The sequence below is a fragment of the Homo sapiens genome, chromosome 21 (genome assembly GCF_000001405.40).
Source record: "Homo sapiens chromosome 21, GRCh38.p14 Primary Assembly".
NCBI classification, from domain to species: domain Eukaryota; kingdom Metazoa; phylum Chordata; class Mammalia; order Primates; family Hominidae; genus Homo; species Homo sapiens.
The window spans coordinates 36,491,382-36,512,431 of NC_000021.9; the positions used below are offsets into that span (position 1 = coordinate 36,491,382).

The 21,050-nt window shown below is 47.7% G+C and overlaps 1 protein-coding gene and 1 long non-coding RNA gene across 4 annotated transcripts in view, besides 1 other annotated feature; one reads left to right on the forward strand and one right to left on the reverse strand.

Moving 5' to 3' along the window:
- The window catches only part of CLDN14-AS1 (CLDN14 antisense RNA 1), a 68,202-nt gene extending 61,057 nt beyond the window's left edge, over positions 1-7,145 (forward strand). For both annotated transcript variants that reach the window (NR_183529.1, NR_183530.1), the window contains one exon: positions 6,169-7,145. This is a non-coding gene — a long non-coding RNA (CLDN14 antisense RNA 1). The remainder of the gene's footprint in view (positions 1-6,168) is intronic.
- CLDN14 (claudin 14) overlaps positions 1-21,050 on the reverse strand; it is a 115,949-nt gene that overhangs the window by 30,761 nt on the left and 64,138 nt on the right. For both annotated transcript variants that reach the window (NM_001146077.2, NM_001146078.3), the window contains exon 2: positions 18,982-19,119. The gene's annotated coding sequence lies outside the window, so the exon portion shown is untranslated. The remainder of the gene's footprint in view (positions 1-18,981; positions 19,120-21,050) is intronic.
- Positions 20,338-20,387: an enhancer, noted in NCBI's record as "active region_18437". NCBI's record gives its function as "activates an Ori minimal core promoter by ATAC-STARR-seq in GM12878 lymphoblastoid cells {active_cell/tissue: GM12878}" and the evidence as "EXISTENCE:reporter gene assay evidence [ECO:0000049][PMID:35858748]".

Genomic DNA, 21,050 nt, shown 5'->3' on the forward strand with positions numbered 1-21,050 from the left:
ACAAAGCTTTCAAAAGCGAAACGGCGAGGAATGTAGTGCGTGTCAGCGAGTCAACGAAAATAAGAAAGGGACCTGATGTCAAGCTTGACACGATCATTTTAATTTCCGCGTACTTTTTGGGTCTTTTCATGTTGGCTTCATGGAAATTTATGTTTGCTGAGAAGACTGTATTTGCTACAGGATCTCGCTGTGTTCATTTAGCCTGGTAATAAAAACCATCTGCCTGAAATCCTTTTTGGAACAAGGAGGGGTATAAGCAAATAAGCAAATGGTCATAAAAGATCTGGAGAAGGGTGGGGCTGTGTCAGGAAAGTGGGGAGCCTGGAGTACATGCCTCGGGAGTGGCGACTGTAGGAGGCCGGGGACTACTGAAGGTCATGTGTGAGGCTGTACAGCTTTCCCAGTAAATATGGTGCATGTTGGGAGGACAGGTGCATGTGGACAGGCCGCCTCTCTTCCCAAGCACCCGCTCTGGGCTGGGGTCTCACCACTGGAGTAAGAACAGTATCATGATGCATTAAGTGAGGAGTCCTTGACGTGGGTTGAATAGTGTCCCTGCAAAACTCACGTCCACCCAGAACCTCAGACTATGACCTTCTTTGGAAATAGAGTCTTTATGGGTGTGATTAAGTTAGTATGTGGCTGACTGCGGTGGCTCACGCCTGTAATCCCAGCACTTTGGGAGCTTGAGGTGGGAGGATTGCTTGAGGTTGGTAGTTCGAGACCAGCCTGGGCAACATGGCGAAACTCTGTCTCTAAAAAAAATGCAAGGGCCGGGCGCGGTGGCTCACGCCTGTAATCCCAGCACTTTGGAAGGCCGAGGCGGGTGGATCATGAGGTCAGGAGATCGAGACCATCCTGGCTAACAAGGTGAAACCCCGTCTCTACTAAAAATACAAAAAATTAGCCGGGCGCGGTGGCGGGCGCCTGTAGTCCCAGCTACTCGGGAGGCTGAGGCAGGAGAATGGCGTGAACCCGGGAAGCGGAGCTTGCAGTGAGCCGAGATTGCGCCACTGCAGTCCGCAGTCCGGCCTGGGCGACAGAGCGAGACTCCGTCCCAAAAAAAAAAAAAAAAAAAAAAAAAAAATGCAAAAATTAGCTGCAGGGCATGGTGGCGAGCACCTGTAATCCCAGCTACTTGGGAGGCTGAGGTGGGAGGATCTCTTGAGCCCGGGAGGTGGAGGTTGCAGTGAGCAGTGATTGTGCCACTGCACTGCAGCCTAGGTGACAGAGCAAGACCCTGTCTCAAACAAAACAAAACGAAAAAAAGGTAAAGATGAAGTTATACTGGCTTCCAATGGCTGCTGTCCTTACAAAAAAAGGATAGGCATGGAAGAAGGAAGACAGCCACGTGACGACAGAGGCAGAGGTGGGGATGATGCGACTACAAGCCAGGGAAGGCCAAGGAGACCTGGAGCCACCAGGACCTGGGACCAGCAAGGAAGGGGCCTCCCCTAGAGCCTTCAGAGGGTCGTGGCCCTGCAGGCACCTTGATTTTGGATTTCCAGCCTCTGGAGCTGTGAGAGAATGATGTTCTCTGTAGGAGGAAGCTCTCTGAGTCCCCCTCTCTGCCTGGGAGCTCTGAGCCACTGTGTCTTTGTGGGGAGAGACGAGTCAGACAAGATCGCAAAGAAGCATCTCAAACTCTTGGCCTTTAAAGCAGGCATTGAAGACCATGAGCAGGACAGAACCAACCCTGAGAGGATACTGTTGAGCACGTGTTTTGTTTACCGGTTTGTTTTTCTGCCCGCCCCCGGGGAGGAGGTCGAGCCTCCTGGACTCAAGGAAATAAAAGGGCAGCCTCCTGGAGAGCAGCTGTGAGGGGCTGTGAGAGGGGCCTTCGTCCTGTCCTGGTCTCTGGGTCCACCCCACAGTTGGGGGTGTCACCACAGGAGTCCTGAGCTGGGGTCTGTGAGTAGAGAGGGCTGCTCTTCTGCCTTCCCTGGGAGGCAGGGCACGGAGGAGAAATGGCAAGACACATTAAGCTTTCTTAATGTGGGTTCTAGTAACATAGGTTTTTATGTTCTCAGCAAGACAGGGTTCTTGTAAGCCAGGCATTGGTAAGAGATAATCTTCAAGGTTCCTTTAGCTCTGATTACCATATAAAGACCTGGGCCTGCAGGTCTGATCTTTGAGGTTCTTATAATCCAGAAAACTCAGGACACTGCATGCCAGTGTCAGCTTCAAGGAGCAAGGGAAGCTCAGTTCTTCCAGTCCTGGGGCACGAGGAGGAGGAGGGAAGGCGAGGAAGGGAAGCCTAGCGGCCGCACACTTGTCATAGTCTCTCTCACAGCTAACATTGTGGAGCGGGAGCCTCTGCAAAATGGGCTTTTTTTCTGCCCCCTGCTTGGAATCATTGGAGGAGGCCCCATTTCAGAATGGGAGTGTGGGTGGGTACTGAAGGAACACATGTGGCTGGAGGAAGGTGGGATGGATGAGCACACGCTGGGATTCCTCACAGCCTTCATCTCCTCCATGGTGTGGAGGGGACCCAGGATCCTCATGTGTTCCCAAAGCAGGTATAGAGTGGCTGGGCACCAAGTCCTGGCTGGGAGCCAGTGGATGCCAAGAGCCCACTTTTGCCAGGATGGGTTGGGAATCCCACTAGATCTTGGGGGGATCACCATGGTGGACTTGCTCACACATGAGAGCCCCCAAGAGCAGGACCTCAGGATCTTCTGCGGGGACATCAACTGGATTCGCAAAGAGCCCACCCGTGCTGGGTGGACACCTGCTGGGCAGCAGAGGCTGATGTCGGACTAGCCTCTGGCACAGACCGGGAGACCATCTTCTCTCCCAGCGGGGGACTGTGAGATTTCCTGCACACTGGTCGCCATGTAGGATATGATGCCAGGGAAGAGAGAAACAGGACTGACGAGAGTGGTATCTACAAACAAATATTTATCTAATAAGGCCCATTTCAATCAAAGAAGCTTGTTTCAAACAGACAGGGCTGAGAGGATATTCCTAACAAATTAAAGTCCCCTGGGCTGGCCGTGGGAGAGGGTCTCACGAGGAGGAGAACTAAAGAAGCTCTGTGGTCCCTGCACACTGGCATGTTCGAGAGAATCTGAACTGTTACTGCCTTGGCATGAAAAGATGATTGTTAGGGGCTGAACTGTGTCCCCTCCCAAATTTATATGTTGAAGTCCTGGCCCCCAGTGCCTTAGAATGTGGCTGTACTTGGAGATGGAGTGTACAAAGAGGCGATTCAGTTAAAATGAGTTCGTACGGGTGGGCCCTGACCCAATCTGACTGGTGTCCTCCCAGGAAGGGGAGACGAGTTCACAGGCACATGCAGGGGGATGACCCTGGGATGGCACAGGGACAAGACAGCATCTATAAGCCAGGGAGGGGGCCTCAGGAGAAACCCACCCTGTGGGTGCCTTGATCTCGGACTTCCAGCCTCCAGAACTGTGAGACAATAAATGCCTGTTGTTTAAGCCGCCCTGTCTGTGGAGCTTTGTTACAACATTCTTGGCAGATGAATACAATGATTCTGCTCAAGGACCACAGGTCTTCCTGTGCATCCCCGTAGACATCTGTATCCAGACGAGGACCACACAGGAGGCCTGGATGTTCCCAAACTTCCCTCAGATGCCTGCTGTTACCTGAGTTCCCTGGGTGGAGGAACAAATCCCCCCACACAGAAAGGGGAACCAGAGGCCCAGCACGGTGCCTCACGCCTGTAATCCCAGCACTTTGGGAGGCTGAGGCTGGTGGATCACCTGAAGTCAGGAGTTCGAGACTAGCCTGACCAACATTGTGAAACCCCTTCTCTACTAAAAAATACAAAAATTAGCTGGACATGGTGGTGGACACCTGTAACCCCAGCTACTCAAGAGGCTGAGGCAGGAGAATTGTTTGAACCCGGGAGGCGGAGGTTGCTGTGAGCCGAGATCGTGCCATTGCACTCCAGCCTGGGCAACAAGCGTGAAACTCCATCTCAGAAAAATAAATAATAAATAAAGGGGAACCAGAAAGTCTGATTGGATCAAGTTTATCCTGAATTGACTGAATTTTGTTTAATTGTCAAGTTTAAGAACTCCATTATGGGGTGGGATGAAGGCTTGGGACAGAAATCATATTCAGTTATGGAAAAGGGAATCTGAAATTTTTTGCTACCCATTTGAGTTTTGAAGTCTCAGGAAATCACACTGACTTCATCAAAAAAGCAGGTGCTGCCATGCACATTCGATCAATGCAGATGCTGATGTTTACAATGAGCAGTTGCAGCTTCCCTCCTGACAGCCTGGAGCTTGGGGCTAGAGCCCCTGGCCCACAGGCTAAGAAGCAAGGGTGATTTTACAACCCATGCACTGAGTTAGAGAGTGTTCTTACCCCACGAAGTTCTTGTCCACTCAGAACCTCAGAACGTGACCTTATTTGGAAGTAGGGCTGTAGGTGTAATGAGTTAAGATGAGGTCACAGTGGATTAGGGTGGTCCCTACACCAATGCCACTGGTGTCCTTATAAGAGCAGAGGAGACACAGGGGGAAGAGGGCTATGTGAAGACTGAGGCGGAGATTGCAGCTGTAGGGCAGGGAATGCTGGGGATGGCCAGGCCCCACTGGAAGTTGGAAGGGGCAAGGAAGCCTTCTTTTCTAGAGCTTCAGAGACAGCATGGTCCTCTTGGCACTTTGATTTCAGAATTCTGGCTTCCAGAACTGGGAGTAAATTTCGGTTGTTTTAAGCCATCGAATTTGAAGTACTTTGTTACAGCTGCCCTAGGATGCTAATATACTGTGTTATAAAAATCAGGGTTTCTGCCGGGTGCAGTGGCTCCCAAAATGCCTGTAATTCCAGCACTTTGGGAGGCTGAGGAAGGAGGATCATTGGAGTCCAGGAGTTTGAGATCAGCCTGGGCAACATAGTGAAACCCCATCTCTACAAAAAAATACAAAAATTAGCTGGGCATGGTGATGCACACCTGTGGTCCGAGGTACTTGGGAGGCTGAGGTGGAAGGATCTCTTGAGCCCAGGAGGCTGAGGCCGCAGTGAGCCATGATCACACCACTACACTCCAACTAGGGAGACAGAGTGAGACCTTGTTTCAAAAAAAAAAAAAAAAAAAAAGTCAGGGTTTCTAGAGCCTGTGCTCTATCTGAAATGATTTAGAAGCCTTTCTTCTAGGGACGAATCCCTCCAAATTTAGAACCAGGCAGGAGATTTAGGCACAAGAGCATCCCCTGCTCCCCCTTCCTAGTCTAAATCAGATGACATGGACCCCTGAGAGCGAATGCTTGCAAATCACTCAGGATACCCGCCCAGCCAATGGAGAAGAAAGCAGAGGAAGGAAGGAAAGAAGGGTGGAAGGAAGGAAGGGAGGAGGGGAGGAAGGGAGGGAGGAAGGGAGGGAGGAAGGAAGGGAGGGAGGGAGGGAGGGAGGAAGGGAGGGAGGAAGGCAGGGAGGAAGGAAGGGAGGGAGGAAGGAAGGGAGGGAGGGAGGGAGGGAGGAAGGGAGGGAGGAAGGGAGGGAGGAAGGGAGGAAGGGAGGGAGGAAGGAAGGGAGGGAGGGAGGAAGGGAGGGAGGGAGGAAGGGAGGGAGGGAGGGAGGGAGGGAGGAAGGGAGGGAGGGAGGAAGGGAGGGAGGAAGGGAGGGAGGGAGGGAGGGAGGGAGGAAGGGAGGGAGGGAGGGAGGAAGGGAGGGAGGAAGGAAGGGAGGGAGGGAGGAAGGGAGGGAGGGAGGAAGGGAGGGAGGGAGGGAGGAAGGGAGGGAGGGAGGGAGGAAGGGAGGGAGGAAGGGAGGAAGGGAGGGAGGAAGGGAGGAAGGGAGGGAGGGAGGGAGGAAGGGAGGGAGGAAGGGAGGGAAGGAGGGAGGGAGGAAGGGAGGGAGGAAGGGAGGGAGGGAGGAAGGAAGGGAGGGAGGGAGGGAGGAAGGGAGGGAGGAAGGAAGGGAGGGAGGGAGGGAGGGAGGGAGGGAGGGAGGAAGGAAGGGAGGGAGGGAGGGAGGGAGGAAGGGAGGGAGGGAGGGAGGGAGCGAGGGAGGGAGGGAGGGAGGGAGGGAGGAAGGAAGGGAGGGAGGGAGGGAGGAAGGGAGGGAGGCAGGCGGCAGGCACACGCACACAGGCTCTCTTTGCTTTCCAACAGGAAGGGGCTCAGGGTCTGTTTTCTTTTCCCTTCCTTTCAGATGGATCTTTCATATCTCCAATAACTCTTATCTTTCAGCAAACTCCAACAGGCCCCAAACGAGCTGAGAAAATATCCAACTTCAAAGGTTTTGCACAAATCATCTTAAAGGCCTGACCTAAGCCCGGAAAGCCGGAACGAAGCCCAGAAATCAGTCCTCATTTCATCGCCGTTTAGCCAAGACACCTTTCCCGTCCACAGATCACATCTGCCCCCTTCTGCCCCCGCCCAGGTCCCAACCACCTTGAGACACCTGCGTGATCCATCCTCAAAGCAATGAGTTAGGAGCCGCACTCCTGGTCCTTGGCCGGTGGCTTCAGTGTTATTCCGGGGGGCTGGGTGGGGGCACCTGTGGGGACTGCCCCGTGAGGCTGTGGTTTAATTTCCTTTGCTACTTTCCTTAGCTCTTCAGTCTCAGTCTCAGCCACTGAAATGTGTCTTGGCCACTGGTGGTACAGCACAGGGTGACACTGTTGTCAGCGAGAGGAAGATGCTTTTTTTTTTTTTGAGATGGAGTTTTGCTCTGTTGCCCAGGCTGGAGTGCAGTGGTGCAATCTTGGCTCACTGCAACCTCCACCGCCCGGGGTTCAAGCGATTCTCCTGTCTCAGCCTCATGAGTAGCTGGGATTACAGGCACCCACCACCATGCCCAGCTAATTTTTGTATTCTTAGTAGAGATGGGGTTTTGCCATATTGGCCAGGCTGGTGTCGAACTCCTGACCTCAGGCGGTCCACCTGCCTTGGCCTCCCAAAGTGCTGGGATTATAGACATGAGCCACTGCGCCCAGACAGGAAGATGCGTTTGTGAGCCGGGACAATTGTGAGTGGAAAGAGAAGAAAAAAAGTAAAATAATAATACTAATAATGCCTTTTCTCTGGTCCTGGAAGATCTATATGAACTTGTATTTTACATCTCTTGTCTGGATTTAGCTGTGAAAGACCAGTAGACCAACTGGTGGGAAAAATACTTGCACGGCAGCAGGTTGTTTGAATAAAATAGGAGATTTCCAGTCTCAGATTGGATACATGCACTTAATATCAGCAGACTTGTTGTGAGTATAAGCCTCTATAAACTGAGCACTGTTGCAGGCGATGGGGACGTGGAACTGGTAGGACCGATGGCTAAGCTCTCTTCCCCTCCACCCTGGAAAAAATGAACATAGGATCTGGCTGTGGCAGACAGCAGCCTACAGAAAGGTGGGGGCACCTCTCAGCTGGCCTTCAGCTCCAATACAGACACGGGAAAACCAGTCTCAGTTCAGGTCTGGGCCCCACTGGCTGCGTCTGCCTGGACACCATCAGCCCTGCACGAAGGTGGCCGCTGAGGGGCCCTCATGGGGGCTGAAATTCAACCAAGGCTTGATTCCTGCCTGAGGTGCCAGGAACCTGTCCCTTTCTTCTAGGTGGTTCGCTCAGCAAGGGTACTTTTTGTAATTCAGCCACCCAGATGGGAGTGTCCTCTTGCACTCCATCCATCTGGATGAAGCACCTTTATTTTCTAATTTGGCCAGTTTCAGGGCACATGACAATCACCGATATGACAGAAGGGTAACCTTTCTGGGGTTGCATCTTAGGAAATTTCATTGAAGGAGGAGTAGAGAGATGATATCATTGACCACAGGACTCAAGAAATAAGCCCAGAGCACACATCGGTTTTGTGGGGGCAATGAACCCCGCAACTGCGGGAAACTGACCTTCAGCACTTTGATGTGAATGGGGCCATTGCTTTCAGCTTTCTCCAAGGTTTTTGTTTGTTTGTTTGTCGGTCTTACTCTGTCGCCCAGGCTGGAGTGCAGTGGTGTGATCTCAGCTCGCTGCAACCTCTGCCTCCTGGGTTCAAGCGATTCTCCTGCCTCAGCCTCCCAAGTTTTTACTTGAAACCTGCATACACACAGCCTTTTTGTTTTATGGGCTGGGTTCCTACAGAGAGTTATGAATGGAGGATTGAGTGCATTTAGGCTATTAGTAGAAAGTGATCAAGATTAGAATAGAGTGGCTTATCTGTGTTTAGAGTCTCTAAAGTTGTTGCAGGGGGCTTGTTGCAATGTCCGTACCAGGGCCCCAACCCAGACCTACCGAATCAGAATTTCAGGAGGGGAGGTTAGGAATCTGTGGTTTTATGTCAGCCCCTGTTCCAGTCCACGTGACTCTTATGCATCATGATGTTGAGATTCACTGATTTAGACACGCAGACAATAAATACTGATTCTTGGACTACAGAGCCAAAGACAAATCGAGTGACGTATTCTAGCTCATGGAGCCAGCTGGGCAAAGCCAGCAGGGATTTATTGCTCCTTAGATGATCAATGCTGCCCCCAGGGCTGCTGTCATCTCCTGATGACGAGCAACATTTTCACAACATCAGGGGGCTGGTGGAGAAAATCGGGGGGTCTCCGGAGCAACCCCGGGAGCAGTACTGGGCCCAGAAGCCTGCCCCAGCCGCGCACACAGAGTCTACCTGTCTTCCAATGCGAGTCCCGCGAGGTGAAGAATTAGAGCATGTTGTTCATTTATAATGTTTGCTTTGCTTTTGGAAACACCCTGGGGCAACTCAGGCAAGGTTTTCAATGTGGTGTTTGACTTGGCTTAGCTGCAAAGTTCCCCCTTTTTGGTCTGTTTATGGCAAGTTAGCACACGGCCCCATATCCAGGAGCCTAACACCAGCCCCAGCAGAAATCAGGGAGCGGGCAAGGAAGTGAAACATTGGGAGGGCTGGGTTGGGCTTCCCTGTACCCGCCCTCTCAGCCGGGAGCTCGCCTGAGGTCAGGCTGGGCACCAGGCCACCTCAGACTTTGCAGCCTCGGACCTGTTACTGCAGCCCGAATAACAGTGACGCCTCGGACAGTGACACGTCCCGCTGACCAACCACAGGGTCTGGAGGATAATTTCCCAGGAAAGAGATACATTCCATTCATTTTTTTAAAATTTTATTTTAAATTTAGACAGAGTCTTGTTCTGTTGCCCAGGCTGGAGTGCAGTGGTGCAATCTCGGTTCACCGCAACCTCCACCTCCTGGGTTCAAGCAATTCTCCTGCTTCAACCTCCCTAGTAGCTGGGATCACAGGTTTGTGCCACCATGCCTGGCTAATTTTAGTATTTTTAGTAGAGATGAGGTTTCACCATGCTGGTCAGGCTGATCTTGAACTCCTTGCCTCAAGTGATCCACCCGCCTCGGCCTCCCAAAGTGCTGGGATTATAGGCGCACGTCACCGTGCCCGGCTGATACATTCCATTCTTTAGCTCCCTCTTTCTTACATATTTTCTTTTCTTTTTACAAAGTCAACCCACTTTCAGTAGGAAGTTGCCGATTCTTTCTCATGTTTACTTTTGAGTTTCAAATAGACACCGCCTTATCTTTTAATAAGACTTGCTATCACTGTGCCAGCCACTCCATTTACATCATTTCATTTCATCTGCACAGAACTCTACGCAGGGGGTATGATTAGATCGCATTTAATGATGAGAAAGCAAACTCGGAGAGCTTAAATCAGCGGCCCAAGGTAGCCCAGCTAACACCCGGGGGGTGCGGCTCAGCCGCAGGTCTTCTCAGCGATGTGGTTGCTGTCTGCCTGGCTAATGGCCTGCCACATCCTGAACCCTTCAATGTCACCCTCATCTTTCCTTCTCTGCCTTAGAAGAGAAAAGGATGATGGCTTATCTGAGGGCTGAAAGATTTCATCCACATCAAGCCCCATTTGCATGAAATGTATCTGCCCAGTTTATATCAGCAACATGAAGAGCAAAGAAAACTGCCTGTTTATATTGCCACATCTGCAGGGCATTGAAATACATTATTAATGGGAGTTTCAGTCAATATCTCACTTTTTTTTTTTTTTTTTTTTTTTTTTTTTTTTTTTTAGAAAAGTGAAACCATGATTGGGTTACATTAGTGTGAGTTGTAGAAACCAGGTTAAATCTGACCTTTGGGACATGGAGACGGTCATCTGACCCAGGGCGGGTCACATTCAAAGAGCACAGACAAGGTCCCCCTGAAGTCAGTGGGACATTTGGGCCTGAGACTATGAAACTGAACTAGAACTTATGGGCTTTAGGGAACAAGCCCAAAAGCTCCTAAATTTCCTCCTTGAAGATCTCCTCGCTACTGTTTTTCTTCTAGATATTCTGCTGCTTTGACAGGTACGCCACCCCCTGTCTCCAAACTCACACGTTCAACCCAGTGATGGGTGGAGACTGGGAGGCTCTGTTAGTCTCTCTTTTCAGTAGCCTGGCCCTAAATTAAAGGGCCCATGGTTTTCTCTAGTTGAACACACCCCAGGCTCCCAGCCAGCCCCTGGCCCTCGAGAGGGGTTGTTTTTGATGGCAGGAGGGAGATAAAAGTGAATGTATTTTAGGATCTTGTTACTAGGCCACAAGGAAACACTGGATGGAAAGTCTTATGAATTTGAAAAGACCTTTTTTTTTTTTTTAAATCAAATCCAAGGAACCCAAAAGGCGTTAAGCTATTGTTTAAACATAGACCCAGTGCCCAAACCCTGCACACTAGTTTGTAGAGGTTGGAAGAGGCAGGATGGAAGGGGTTAATGGTGCTATTCTTTCTTGAATATTCTGTAACACACCACAATGAGCCAAAAGCAGTCACAGGGAACCATCATGAGGAGTAGCATGTTTTTACCTATGTTAACTCCAACATCCGCAATAGCTGAACCTTAGAATTATTATCCGAATTGTGCATACCAGGAAACAACAGATTTGATGAGTTTAATAACTTGTCCAACATTACAAAGTTAGCAAGAGGTAGGGTCCAGAAATGAACAGCGTCCTTTCTTCTGCAGGCTGGCTCCCATGAAATACTATTCTTATGCCTGTTGAGGTCTGATGTGGTATCACATTATACTACTGGACCAGCTAGGGGGTCAAGAGCATTATGCCATCTCTGTAGTATGCTTAGGGGTCAGTCCTGAAATGAGCAGAGTTCACTTTCAGCCATGAAAAGGATATTCCGAGGAACTGATATCTTAGATTGCTTTCTTTTAGTGCATAGACATCACTTGAGAGGCTTCATGTTACTGAGACATCTTGTAAACTTTACAGCTACTGTTTTACACTTCATCAGCATTCCTGATCTTATTATGGTGTTCACTTCAAATAATGTTGGGTGTGTAAGAATCAAATGCAAATTGTACAGTATTTGACACGGATGTCTTTAGGAGCCAATATTTCCTTAAATATCATGGTTTCAGTGTTATCCACTAATGCTTTAATAGATAGGGTTTCTTTGCATTCATAAATGGTAATAAAGATACGAGTTGTCTACTATAAAACCAAACACTTATATTTCCCAACTACTAAAACATCTATGTAATCTTGAATCCATCTGACCTAAAGGAAGGAAAATGTTCTCAACCCAGGCTACACATTAGAACACTTGGGAAGCTTTGAAAAATTCTTAATGAATGGGCCCCACTCCTAGACCAATTAATTCAGATCTCTGAGAAGTGTGGTCTGAGAACTGATGGTTTAGAAAACTGTACAGACAGTTCTAACATGCAGCCAGCTTGAGAACTACTGGGTTTAGACAAGAATGGATTTTTTTGTTTTTTGAGATAGAGTCTCACTCTTTCGCCCAGGCTGGAGTGCAGTGGCACAATCTTGGCTCACTGCAACCTCTGCCTCCTAGGTTCAAGAGATTCTCCTGCCTCAGCCTCCCAAGTAGCTGAGATGACAGGTGTGCACCACCATTCCGGGCTAATTTTTGTATTTTTAGTAGAGACAGGGTTTCACCATATTGGCCAGGCTGGTCTTGAGCTCCTGACCTCAAGTGATCCACCTGCCTTGCCCTCCCAAAGTGTTAGGATTACAGGCATGAGCCACTATGCCCAGCTAATATGGTTTGGTTCTGTCCCCATCCAAATCTCATCTTGAATTCCCATGCGTTGTGGGAGGGACCTAGTGGGAGGTAATTGAATCATGGGGCCAGATCTTTCTCACGTTGTTCTCGTGACAGAGATCTGATGGTTTTAAAAATGGGAGTTTCCCTCACAAGCTCTCTCTTTGCCTGTCGCCATCCATGTAAGACATGACTTGCTCCTCTTTTCTTTCCACCATGATTGTGAAGCTTCCCCAGCCACATGGAACTATGAGTTTTCCATGAAATCTCTTTCCTTTGTAAATTGCCCAGTCTTGGGTATGTCTTTATCAGCAGCATGAAAATGAACTAATACACCAGCCAAGAATGGATTTTTAAATTAATGGAGTTAGGTCTGATTAATATCAATGCATTAATGTATAAATGTCTACATTATGCATTACAATAAACAGTTTTGAATATAACACAACTAAAATATATGCAATGAATACAATACATACAGTAAGTCATTAGCTTCCAGGTATAAGTAGATGCTCAATAAATATTACTGAGTTACTGAATGAATGGCATCCTACAAAGTTTTATATGAAAAATTATATTTTGATGAAATTAAGATGCCATCAATTGTAAGATGTAGTATCACTGATAAAGAAAATAGATTCATTAAATTATGACATGCTATCTAGTATGTCACACCCTAACTTCAAAAATGTTAAAAAGGCCAGATGTGGTGGCTCATGCTTGTAATACCAGCACTTTGGGAGGCCAAAGTGGGAGGATCACTTGAAGCCAGGAGTTCAAGACCAGCTTGGGCAACATAGCAAAATCCCATCTATATGTAAAAATAAAAAAATTACCTGGGCATGGTGGTGCACGCCTGTAGTCCCAGCTACTTGTGAGGCTGAGGTAAAAGGATCACTTAAGCCTAGAAGTTTGAGGCTGAAGAGAGTTATGATCGTGCCATTGCACTCAAGCCTGTCTCAGAAAAAAGTTAAAAACAAGAAAAAAATACAATATTTTGAAATTACTGTATTCTCTTTTTCTGCTTAGTCTAGGCCAACTGTTATACCATTAACTTCCACTAGATGCCGCTGTGACCTGCTACTTCAGGTTCCGAAAGGCAATCTGAAAGCCAATTTTCTCCAAGGATTTAAAATTGAAATAATTCACCCCCTTTAAAGACAAAAGATATTTTAACCACCTCATATTTTAGGGGGTTGTGGCTCATTCTTTCTTTGTGTTAAGACCTATCTGAAGTATCTCATGAAGTGTACAATTATTTAAAAAGGAAACTGAAAAGTTTTAATGGCTTGATAGAAAACAATTGCTTCCCTTTTATCCACATCCCCAAATTTCACATTTTGCGTGTAACTCATGACTAGTCTGCAGTGGGTTATAGAGAAGAGATGGTAACACTGATAGGAAGGCTGATGTTGACTTCAATGAAATAAGAAGTAAAACTTGAAGGAAAGAGTATGACATCTTCTGATTTGAAGACAGCAGATCATGGTACCCTGTACCCATGAGTCACTGCTCCCAGAGATAGGAAAAGCTGGGTGGAAAAGAAAATTTGGGCTGATAGGACTGGGTCCTGAGCTTGAAGCCAAGCCCAGTGTTAACCCTGGGCATTGACCCAGGCCCTCCCTGACTGAAAATCTGGAAGATTTTCCCTGCTGGGTGAGAATCACTTTTTCAGCAAAACAATACAAGCTTTAGGGCCAAAAGGAAGCCCATGAAGCTTCCAGAGACGTGCTTAGAGCAATGCTGCTCAAATTCTTACCAATCTCCACTATATGAGAACAGAAATGGACAGTAAGTATCTCAAAACTTGTATAACAAATTTAAACAGGTTTACGTCTGCTAAATCTAATAAAAAGAAATCAGGATTGTATTTCATATGTCTTTGTTTCATATTTCATTTTTCCAGTAATTCAATTCTTTTAGTATTTTACAAAAGTATTGGTCCATAATAGATTGGAATTTTTTAAAAAATAGCCCTTCAGCCCAGATAGCTTTTGAAGCACTGCAGACAGCCCACCCCAAGCTGCTGGAGGAGGCAATTCCAGGACGATGAAGCCATCATACTCCTGAATAATGTTCTAGTAGACCAAACAGCTAAGAAAGGGCTGAAGAACAGGAGCACTTAGATGATAAAGGACAGGATGACTGGAGAGCTAAAAAGAAATCCTAAGAACAGAACACCTCGGGGAGTCCCAGCCTCTGAACCCACAGTCAGCAGCTCACCAGAACCTAACATTTCTGCAAAGGCTCAGAGATTCCACCATTGCCACTCCCAGCAGTTCGCCTGCCCAATGTAGACAATCAGCCTAGCACTGACTTTGGGACAAGAGGATCTCAGGTGGTTACAGTGAAAAGAAAATGCAAAACCACTCAGGATTGCCCAAGTCTGACATATTTAGGTTCAGAAGAGAAACACACAGAGAGGTCCATTGTTAACCCCTTCCTGGTTTGATCCACCCAAAGCCAGCCGGCTTGGATGGAGGGGAGGCGTAAGGCACTGTGGACTTCCATTTATGGGTAACTGTGAGCTGGCTTTTGTCTTCTCTGAAAAATGCCCTGTTACACTAGCATACTGTCAGTGTCTTTTTTGGATAGCCATTTGGTAATATCTATCAAAATGTAAACAGTGAATACTCTTCAACTCAGCTATTTCTCTGCTAGAAATTCATCCCCCAGTTATACTCCTAAAGTAAGCAAAGACATAAATAATACAGGATTCAATACTCTCTGGCTCTTTCTGAGAGAATAAAACTGGATAAAATGTAAATGTCCTTTATAAGAGATTAGTTACATAACTACGGTACATCCACACAGATTAGTATGCACCATTAAAAGATTAAATGCTTCTGCAGTTACTGATATGCAAAGAGTTCCAAGACACAATGTTAAGTGAAGGAAGCAAGTTGAAGTGCAGTGTGTACAGCATGATCCTATTTGTGTAAACAAGAACAAATGCAGTCAGGTACGGTGGCTCATGCCTGTAATCCCAGCATTTTGGGAGGCCAAGGCAGGTGGATCACCTGAGGTCAGAAGTTCAAGACCAGCCTGACCAGCATGGCAAAGCCCCATCTGTACTAAAAATACAAAAATTAGTTGGGTGTGGTGATGGATGTCTGTAATCCCAGCTATTTGGGAGGCTGAGGCAGGAGAATCGTTTGAACCGGGGGGGCGGAGGTTGCAGTGAGCCGAGATCGGGCCACTTCACTGCAGCCTGGGTGAAAGACCAAGACTCTGTCTCAAAAAAAAAAAAAAAAGAAAGAACAAATGCATTTCTGTCATGCAGAGAGACCTTCTGAGGGCTGCACAAAAAGCCGTTCACAGCGATCACCTCTGGGGGGTGGAGCCAAGGGTCAAGGTCGGGGAGGACTTTCATTTTTAACTTCACACTCTTGTATGTGGTCTGACGTTTTAAAAAGCAAAATTGTATCAATTTAATAGGGAGCAAGGTATCTATTGCAGAGCATCAAGAGTTACAAGAGGCCAGGTGCAGTGCTTCCCACCTATAATCCCAGTGTTTTGGGAGGCCAAGGCAGAAGGATTCCTTGAGTCCAGGAGTTTGAGACCAGCCTGGGCAACACAGCAAGACCCTGTCTCTAAAAAAATGAAAATAAAAAATTACCTGAGCATGGTGGTGTGTACCTGTAGTTCTAGCTACTCAGGAGGCTGAGGCAGAAGGGCTGCTTGAGCCCAGGAGCTCGAGGCTGCAGTGAGCTATGATCACACCACTGCACTCCAGCCTGGGCAACAGAATGAGATGCTCCCTCTTAAAAAAAAAAAAGCACTACAGGAAATGGCAGCAAATATCAGTCAGCCAAAGACACAACCTGACACAAGCGGCTGCACAAAATAGTAGTTGCCCTTAAGCTCAAGGGACATCAACAAGGAAAAAACACACAACTCCCAGTGTTCTCTCAACCCATGGCTGTGTATATCTTTTAGTGATGAGCCTTGGGGACCCCATAAAACCCAGAGGAACATGTGGCAGAGGACCCAAGGCTTCCAGGGATTGTGGCCATCACCAGGTGAGAAAGCCCAGAGACAACCGCTTGAGTGTTTAATTACTATGTGAAAATGGAATGAGAGGGAAGGAAATTGGGTTTGGTTACTTCAATAAAAAAAGGTTGACCGGACGTGGTGGCTCACACCTGTAATCCCAGCACTTCGAAAGGCCAAGGTGGGTGGATCACCTAAGGTCAGAAGTTTGAGACCAGCCTGGCCAATGTGGTGGAGTCCCGTCTCTACTAAAAATACAAAAATTAGTTGGGTGTGGTGGCACGCACGTGTAATCCCAGCTACTTGGCAGGCTGAGGCGGGAGAATCACTTGAAACCAGGAGGCAGAGGTTGCAATGAGCTGAGATTGTGCCACTGCACTCCAGCTTGGGTGACAGAGTGAGACTCCATCTCAAAAAAAGAAAAAGGTTGCCTGGCCCTGGTTCATAAGTAGAGGGAGTGTCTTGTGTCTTGGGAACCAGTAGCACTGTTAACATTTACAAACGGGACACACACATTTCCTGTTTAATTCCACCCTGCACAGTGCTGATTCACTATGATACCATTGGTCTCAGAAATACTTTTCTTAAAAGTTGTATATAATTACCACATATATACACATAAATAAAAATATACACACATATATGTGTATACATGCACACACACATACATATCACACTCTGTGCTCTCAGCCAGGGAGAGCTGGGGAAGGAGATTGTCTTTGGAGTCCTTAGCACATTACACTATATTACAAATGCTCTTGGCCGAAGAGTATTCTCAGTGCTGTCCTGAGTTGTGTTCTGCAAAATGCACTGTTTATTCCACTGTGATCTTCCTTTCTGCCACTCATTTCATGTTCTAGGGAACAGTTTTGACTCACAGTTATGGGTAAAAGGTGTTTGAGTGATTGTTCTAGACTCACCCTAAAGAGACCAAGGAAGAATATTATGCCAAGTGTCAAAAAGCTACTTTCCAGGCAGCTCAAGTTGCCTTCATGGAAATGATGAAGGAAGCAGAGGGTGAAGTTTAAGGACAGGTGGAAATCCTTCACAATCCTATCGGGCATCATTAACAGCACTGTAAGGCTGGGAGAGATGACCAAGGGGATTTGAAAACAGCATTAGGGTAGGAAGCCGGAATTAAGCTTATAAAGACCCATAGAGCACGCAGTCCTTCTATGTCATGGCCTATCTGACAGATGCGTTGGGGGGCCCCGGAGAGCCAGGAGTAGTGGGCAGAGGGCAAGCAAGCACAGAGCCATCCTCTACAGTGGTCAGAGGGCAAGCAAGCACAGAGCCACCCTCTACAAGGACACCGGAGCACTGAGGCCATTGCTCTTGGGAAGAAACCACCGAGGTTTCTGTTAGCCAGGGTGGGCCAGCTGAATGTCTGCAACATCACTGAAAACAGTCACAAGTTGGAGAGACAATGGTCTTTTTAGCACTCCCCTTGGGGGAAGCAGTGTGGGAGATGGAAGGTTCTGGAGTAAGGGGTTATGCCTCGAGGGGCTGGCTTCAGGACATTGTCCTGTGGGTTGGTAGGCGTCCTTAATTGTGGGGCTTTTGTTTTGCTGAGAGGAGGCTGCAAGTTTGAGGCAAAAAATGAATTCTCTGGAGGTAAAGAAGCCGCTGAGGCTGCTCCCCGCTGGCCCTTTCTTCCTGCTGGGCCTTTCCTTTATTTATTTAGAGTACTCAGCCTTTCCTCTAGGTAAATATTGAAAGAATATATAAAAACCAATAGTTTAAACAGTGTCAAATTATTATCCTGTCTCCACCTGGCCCTGGGCATGGCTGCGGTGTGTATTGTGCTAGGTTCTGACTCTCTTTGGTTGAGCAGGAGGCGGCCCTAGCGCCACAGGTGGAGATGGCTGCCCACCTGCTGTGAAGGCACTTCCGGTGTCCGCCATCTTGGGAGCAGCTCAGACCGGAAACCACAGGCTGGAGAACGCAACTGGGAATGGAAAGCAGGAGTGGCTCTTTGTGTTGCTTTGGGCTGAATTAGGAGAAGGGTAGATGTTTGGAGGTGGTGTTGGCTGCAGGGAAGAAGGAGTTAGAATGGGATGAAAATTTTTGGCCCAGAGAAGGGGAGCAGTGGTTGTTGGCTGAGGCATTTATTGAAGGATTCCCATGGAGAAGATACATATGGTTGGGGGCAGAGTCCCTGTTGAGAGGGAGTGCTGCCAGTTCCATACAGAAATTCCTTCTCCCTGACAACCGCAGATGTCTTAGCAGCATTGCTTTTATTTTTTATTTATTTATTTATTTTTGAGACTGGGTCTCACTCTGTCACAGGCTGGAGTGCAGTGGCGCAATCTCTGCTCATTGCAACCTCCGCCTCCCGGCTTCAAGTGATTCTAATGCGTCAGCCTCCCGAGTAGCTGGGACTACAGGCACACGCCACCACACCCAGCTAATTTTTGTATTTTTAGTAGAGATGGGGTTTCACTGTGCTGACCAGGCTAGTCTCGAACTCCTGACCTCGTAATCCGCCCACCTCAGCCTCCCAAAGTACTGGGATTACAGACGTGAGCCACCCGCGCCTGGCCCAGCAGCATTGCTTTTAGACTGACAGCTTAGAAACCAAAAGTCTGTTTACTGGCCACCTACACAACCTGTCAATCCCTAAACAACCTGAAGGTTTAGTGCCCTACCATAGACACCCTGTAACCCATTAAGAGGTCCAGCCTTTGCTACAGCAAATGGTGTAAACTCCCACGGCCCAGTTATGTCCAGGGCTCAGTTGGGTTTTTGGCCTCTTTATCCTCAAATGGGGAAAGCATAGCTCTGGGCCAGTCAAGCGCTGAGCTGATCCAAGACATTCTTCCACCCGCCAGACTGGAAATACCGGAAAAGCGGTGGCAGCTGCCCTCAGAGGCAGTGTCAGTATTTTCTTTCCTTTTGGCCAGTTCCGTTTTGACTAGAAACTGGAATCATAATTATAATGCTACATGTTTACAGATTTTAAGTAATTGATCCCTTGGAGTCCTCTTTTGGGGGAAAAGCATTCTACCCACCTCATACATCAGGAAAACAAGAGGCCATATGGTTTGGCTGGGCTGGGTGGTCTCTGGTGTCAGTAGGAGAGTGGAGACTGCGGCTTCAACAGTTCTTGACTTCTTGGCTTGTGTCCAGATCTCTGGGCCTTGCAGCCCCTAGAAAGGTGACACATGAGAAACCGAAGTGGACCAGACCATAAACTCTCAGGAGCAGTTACCTCTAGAGAGGAGGGCAGGCCTCGTGGCCCTGCCTGTGCCTGTTTCTCTTGGAGGGACAGGTTGGAGAGGAGGAAAACCCCTTACTACAGGAGTGTTTCACCTACCTTTAATTACCAGTTAAAACAAAACATTCTGTAATGAAAATTCCCCTTGAAAGAAACTCCAAGTTGCTGTGAAGGTTTCATCTTTCCCTTTTGAATCCCAAGGTCTGCAGCCATGTAATCCAATGTTGGTCTGGAAAAATATCTGGCTACAGAAAAACCCACATGGGGTGTTGGGGACGCCAGTAAAGGGCAGGAGGTTGGATCTTGTACAGTAGCCCTTAGCAAAATCCTTCAGGTCAAGCCCTGGTCTACTTATTAAGAACCCTCTTAACCCTTTTAATAAGAGGTAGATATGTTTTCTTCTGATTCTACCTTCTCTATTGCCAGCAATGTTTGTCCTCAATAAATTAATGTGAGTTGGTGGTGGATGTAGAAAAGGGGAGAAGGGAAACCTAGTTCTCCGATGGTCATGGCTATTTCAAGATAAGGGAAGTGGCAGAAACACGGAGGGAGGCAGGCCGGGGAGCCTCCAACCCCAACAGGTGAAGACACACATAGAGGCATGCAAGTCAGCAAACAAATTCAGGCTGGGTTCCCAGAGGGAAATGTTTGTGTTTTTTTCTAAGTGAGCAGGTGTAGTTAAGCACACCCTTTTCACGGTGCGTTGAAGCAGATTTCCAGCCCTGTTTGGAAGCACAACGTTGCCATCTCAATGGGTTGTCCTTCTGAACCCATAATAGCTGTTTACTTAGACCAGATCCCGTATTGCCTTGTGTCATTGTCCAATTTTCCTATGTGGATTTTACCAATTCAGTTGTAGATGTCTTAGTAACAGGGACCAGAATTTTTCCATAATCAATAGTAGTTTAAATGATTGAACAAAAAGTTTCCTCTTGTGTGCAATCAGCTGAGGAACGTAAACTAATTTCAGTCTCATTCCTAGTGCCTGATTTTTCTTCCATCATTCTAGGTTTCCTGTCTGGCCCACACTTCGAGAGTCCTCCCTGCTGCAGGGAGCACATCTGTGAGCCATGTGTTTCCTTTCTTTCCTCCTGTACAATGGTAATTTTTTTCTTAGCTACTACAGGAAGCCCAGCAGATTCAGATGTACAAGAAGCCACACCAAGACCTAAGATGATATTCACTGATGTTATCAGCAGGTTGATGCCAACATCTGCCTAGAGAGTGGTTACCCTGAGAAGTTTACCCCAGTTCTAAGTTTGGTTGGTCTGTTCTGAGGTGATAGCCTCGTACTGAAGTAATTTCTCCCCACCAAAGGGTCTAGAATAGGTTTATTTGTAATCTATTTTATGTAGCTGTGACTGCCTCAAGACACCTCAAAGGGTTATTAAGAGTGTGTGTCTAGGCATGTGGGTAACTGTTCCAGCTCAACAGCCTGTGAATACCATTAGTAGCCCTTGAAATGGATCTCCAGGAAGTGCTGACTGTTAATGACTCTGCCCTGATGCTCCTATGTGAGCAGAACAAAGAGATAATGTCTAAGTTTGCAGGTAGCTGAGCGCTCTAAATTGATGACTAGCTCAGGGAGAGGGAGGTGCTGTGCCATCCTAAGCCTAGAAGACATCGCCAAAGGAACAGTGGGAGATTAACAACTCTCCCATGTTAGGAGGTTGACTTGCCAAACTGATGGAAGAGTGACAAACTGATAGACTGTGGTGCTGTGTCCCTTCTACGAGCTGAGGGAGGGCTTCACCTGAGGCAGTCAGAAGTGCTAAGAGAAGATTTATGTGGTAAGGGAGAGGGAATCTTTCCAACAATAGCTATTAATTGACTTTCATTTTGTAGAAGAATATTGTATTAAGT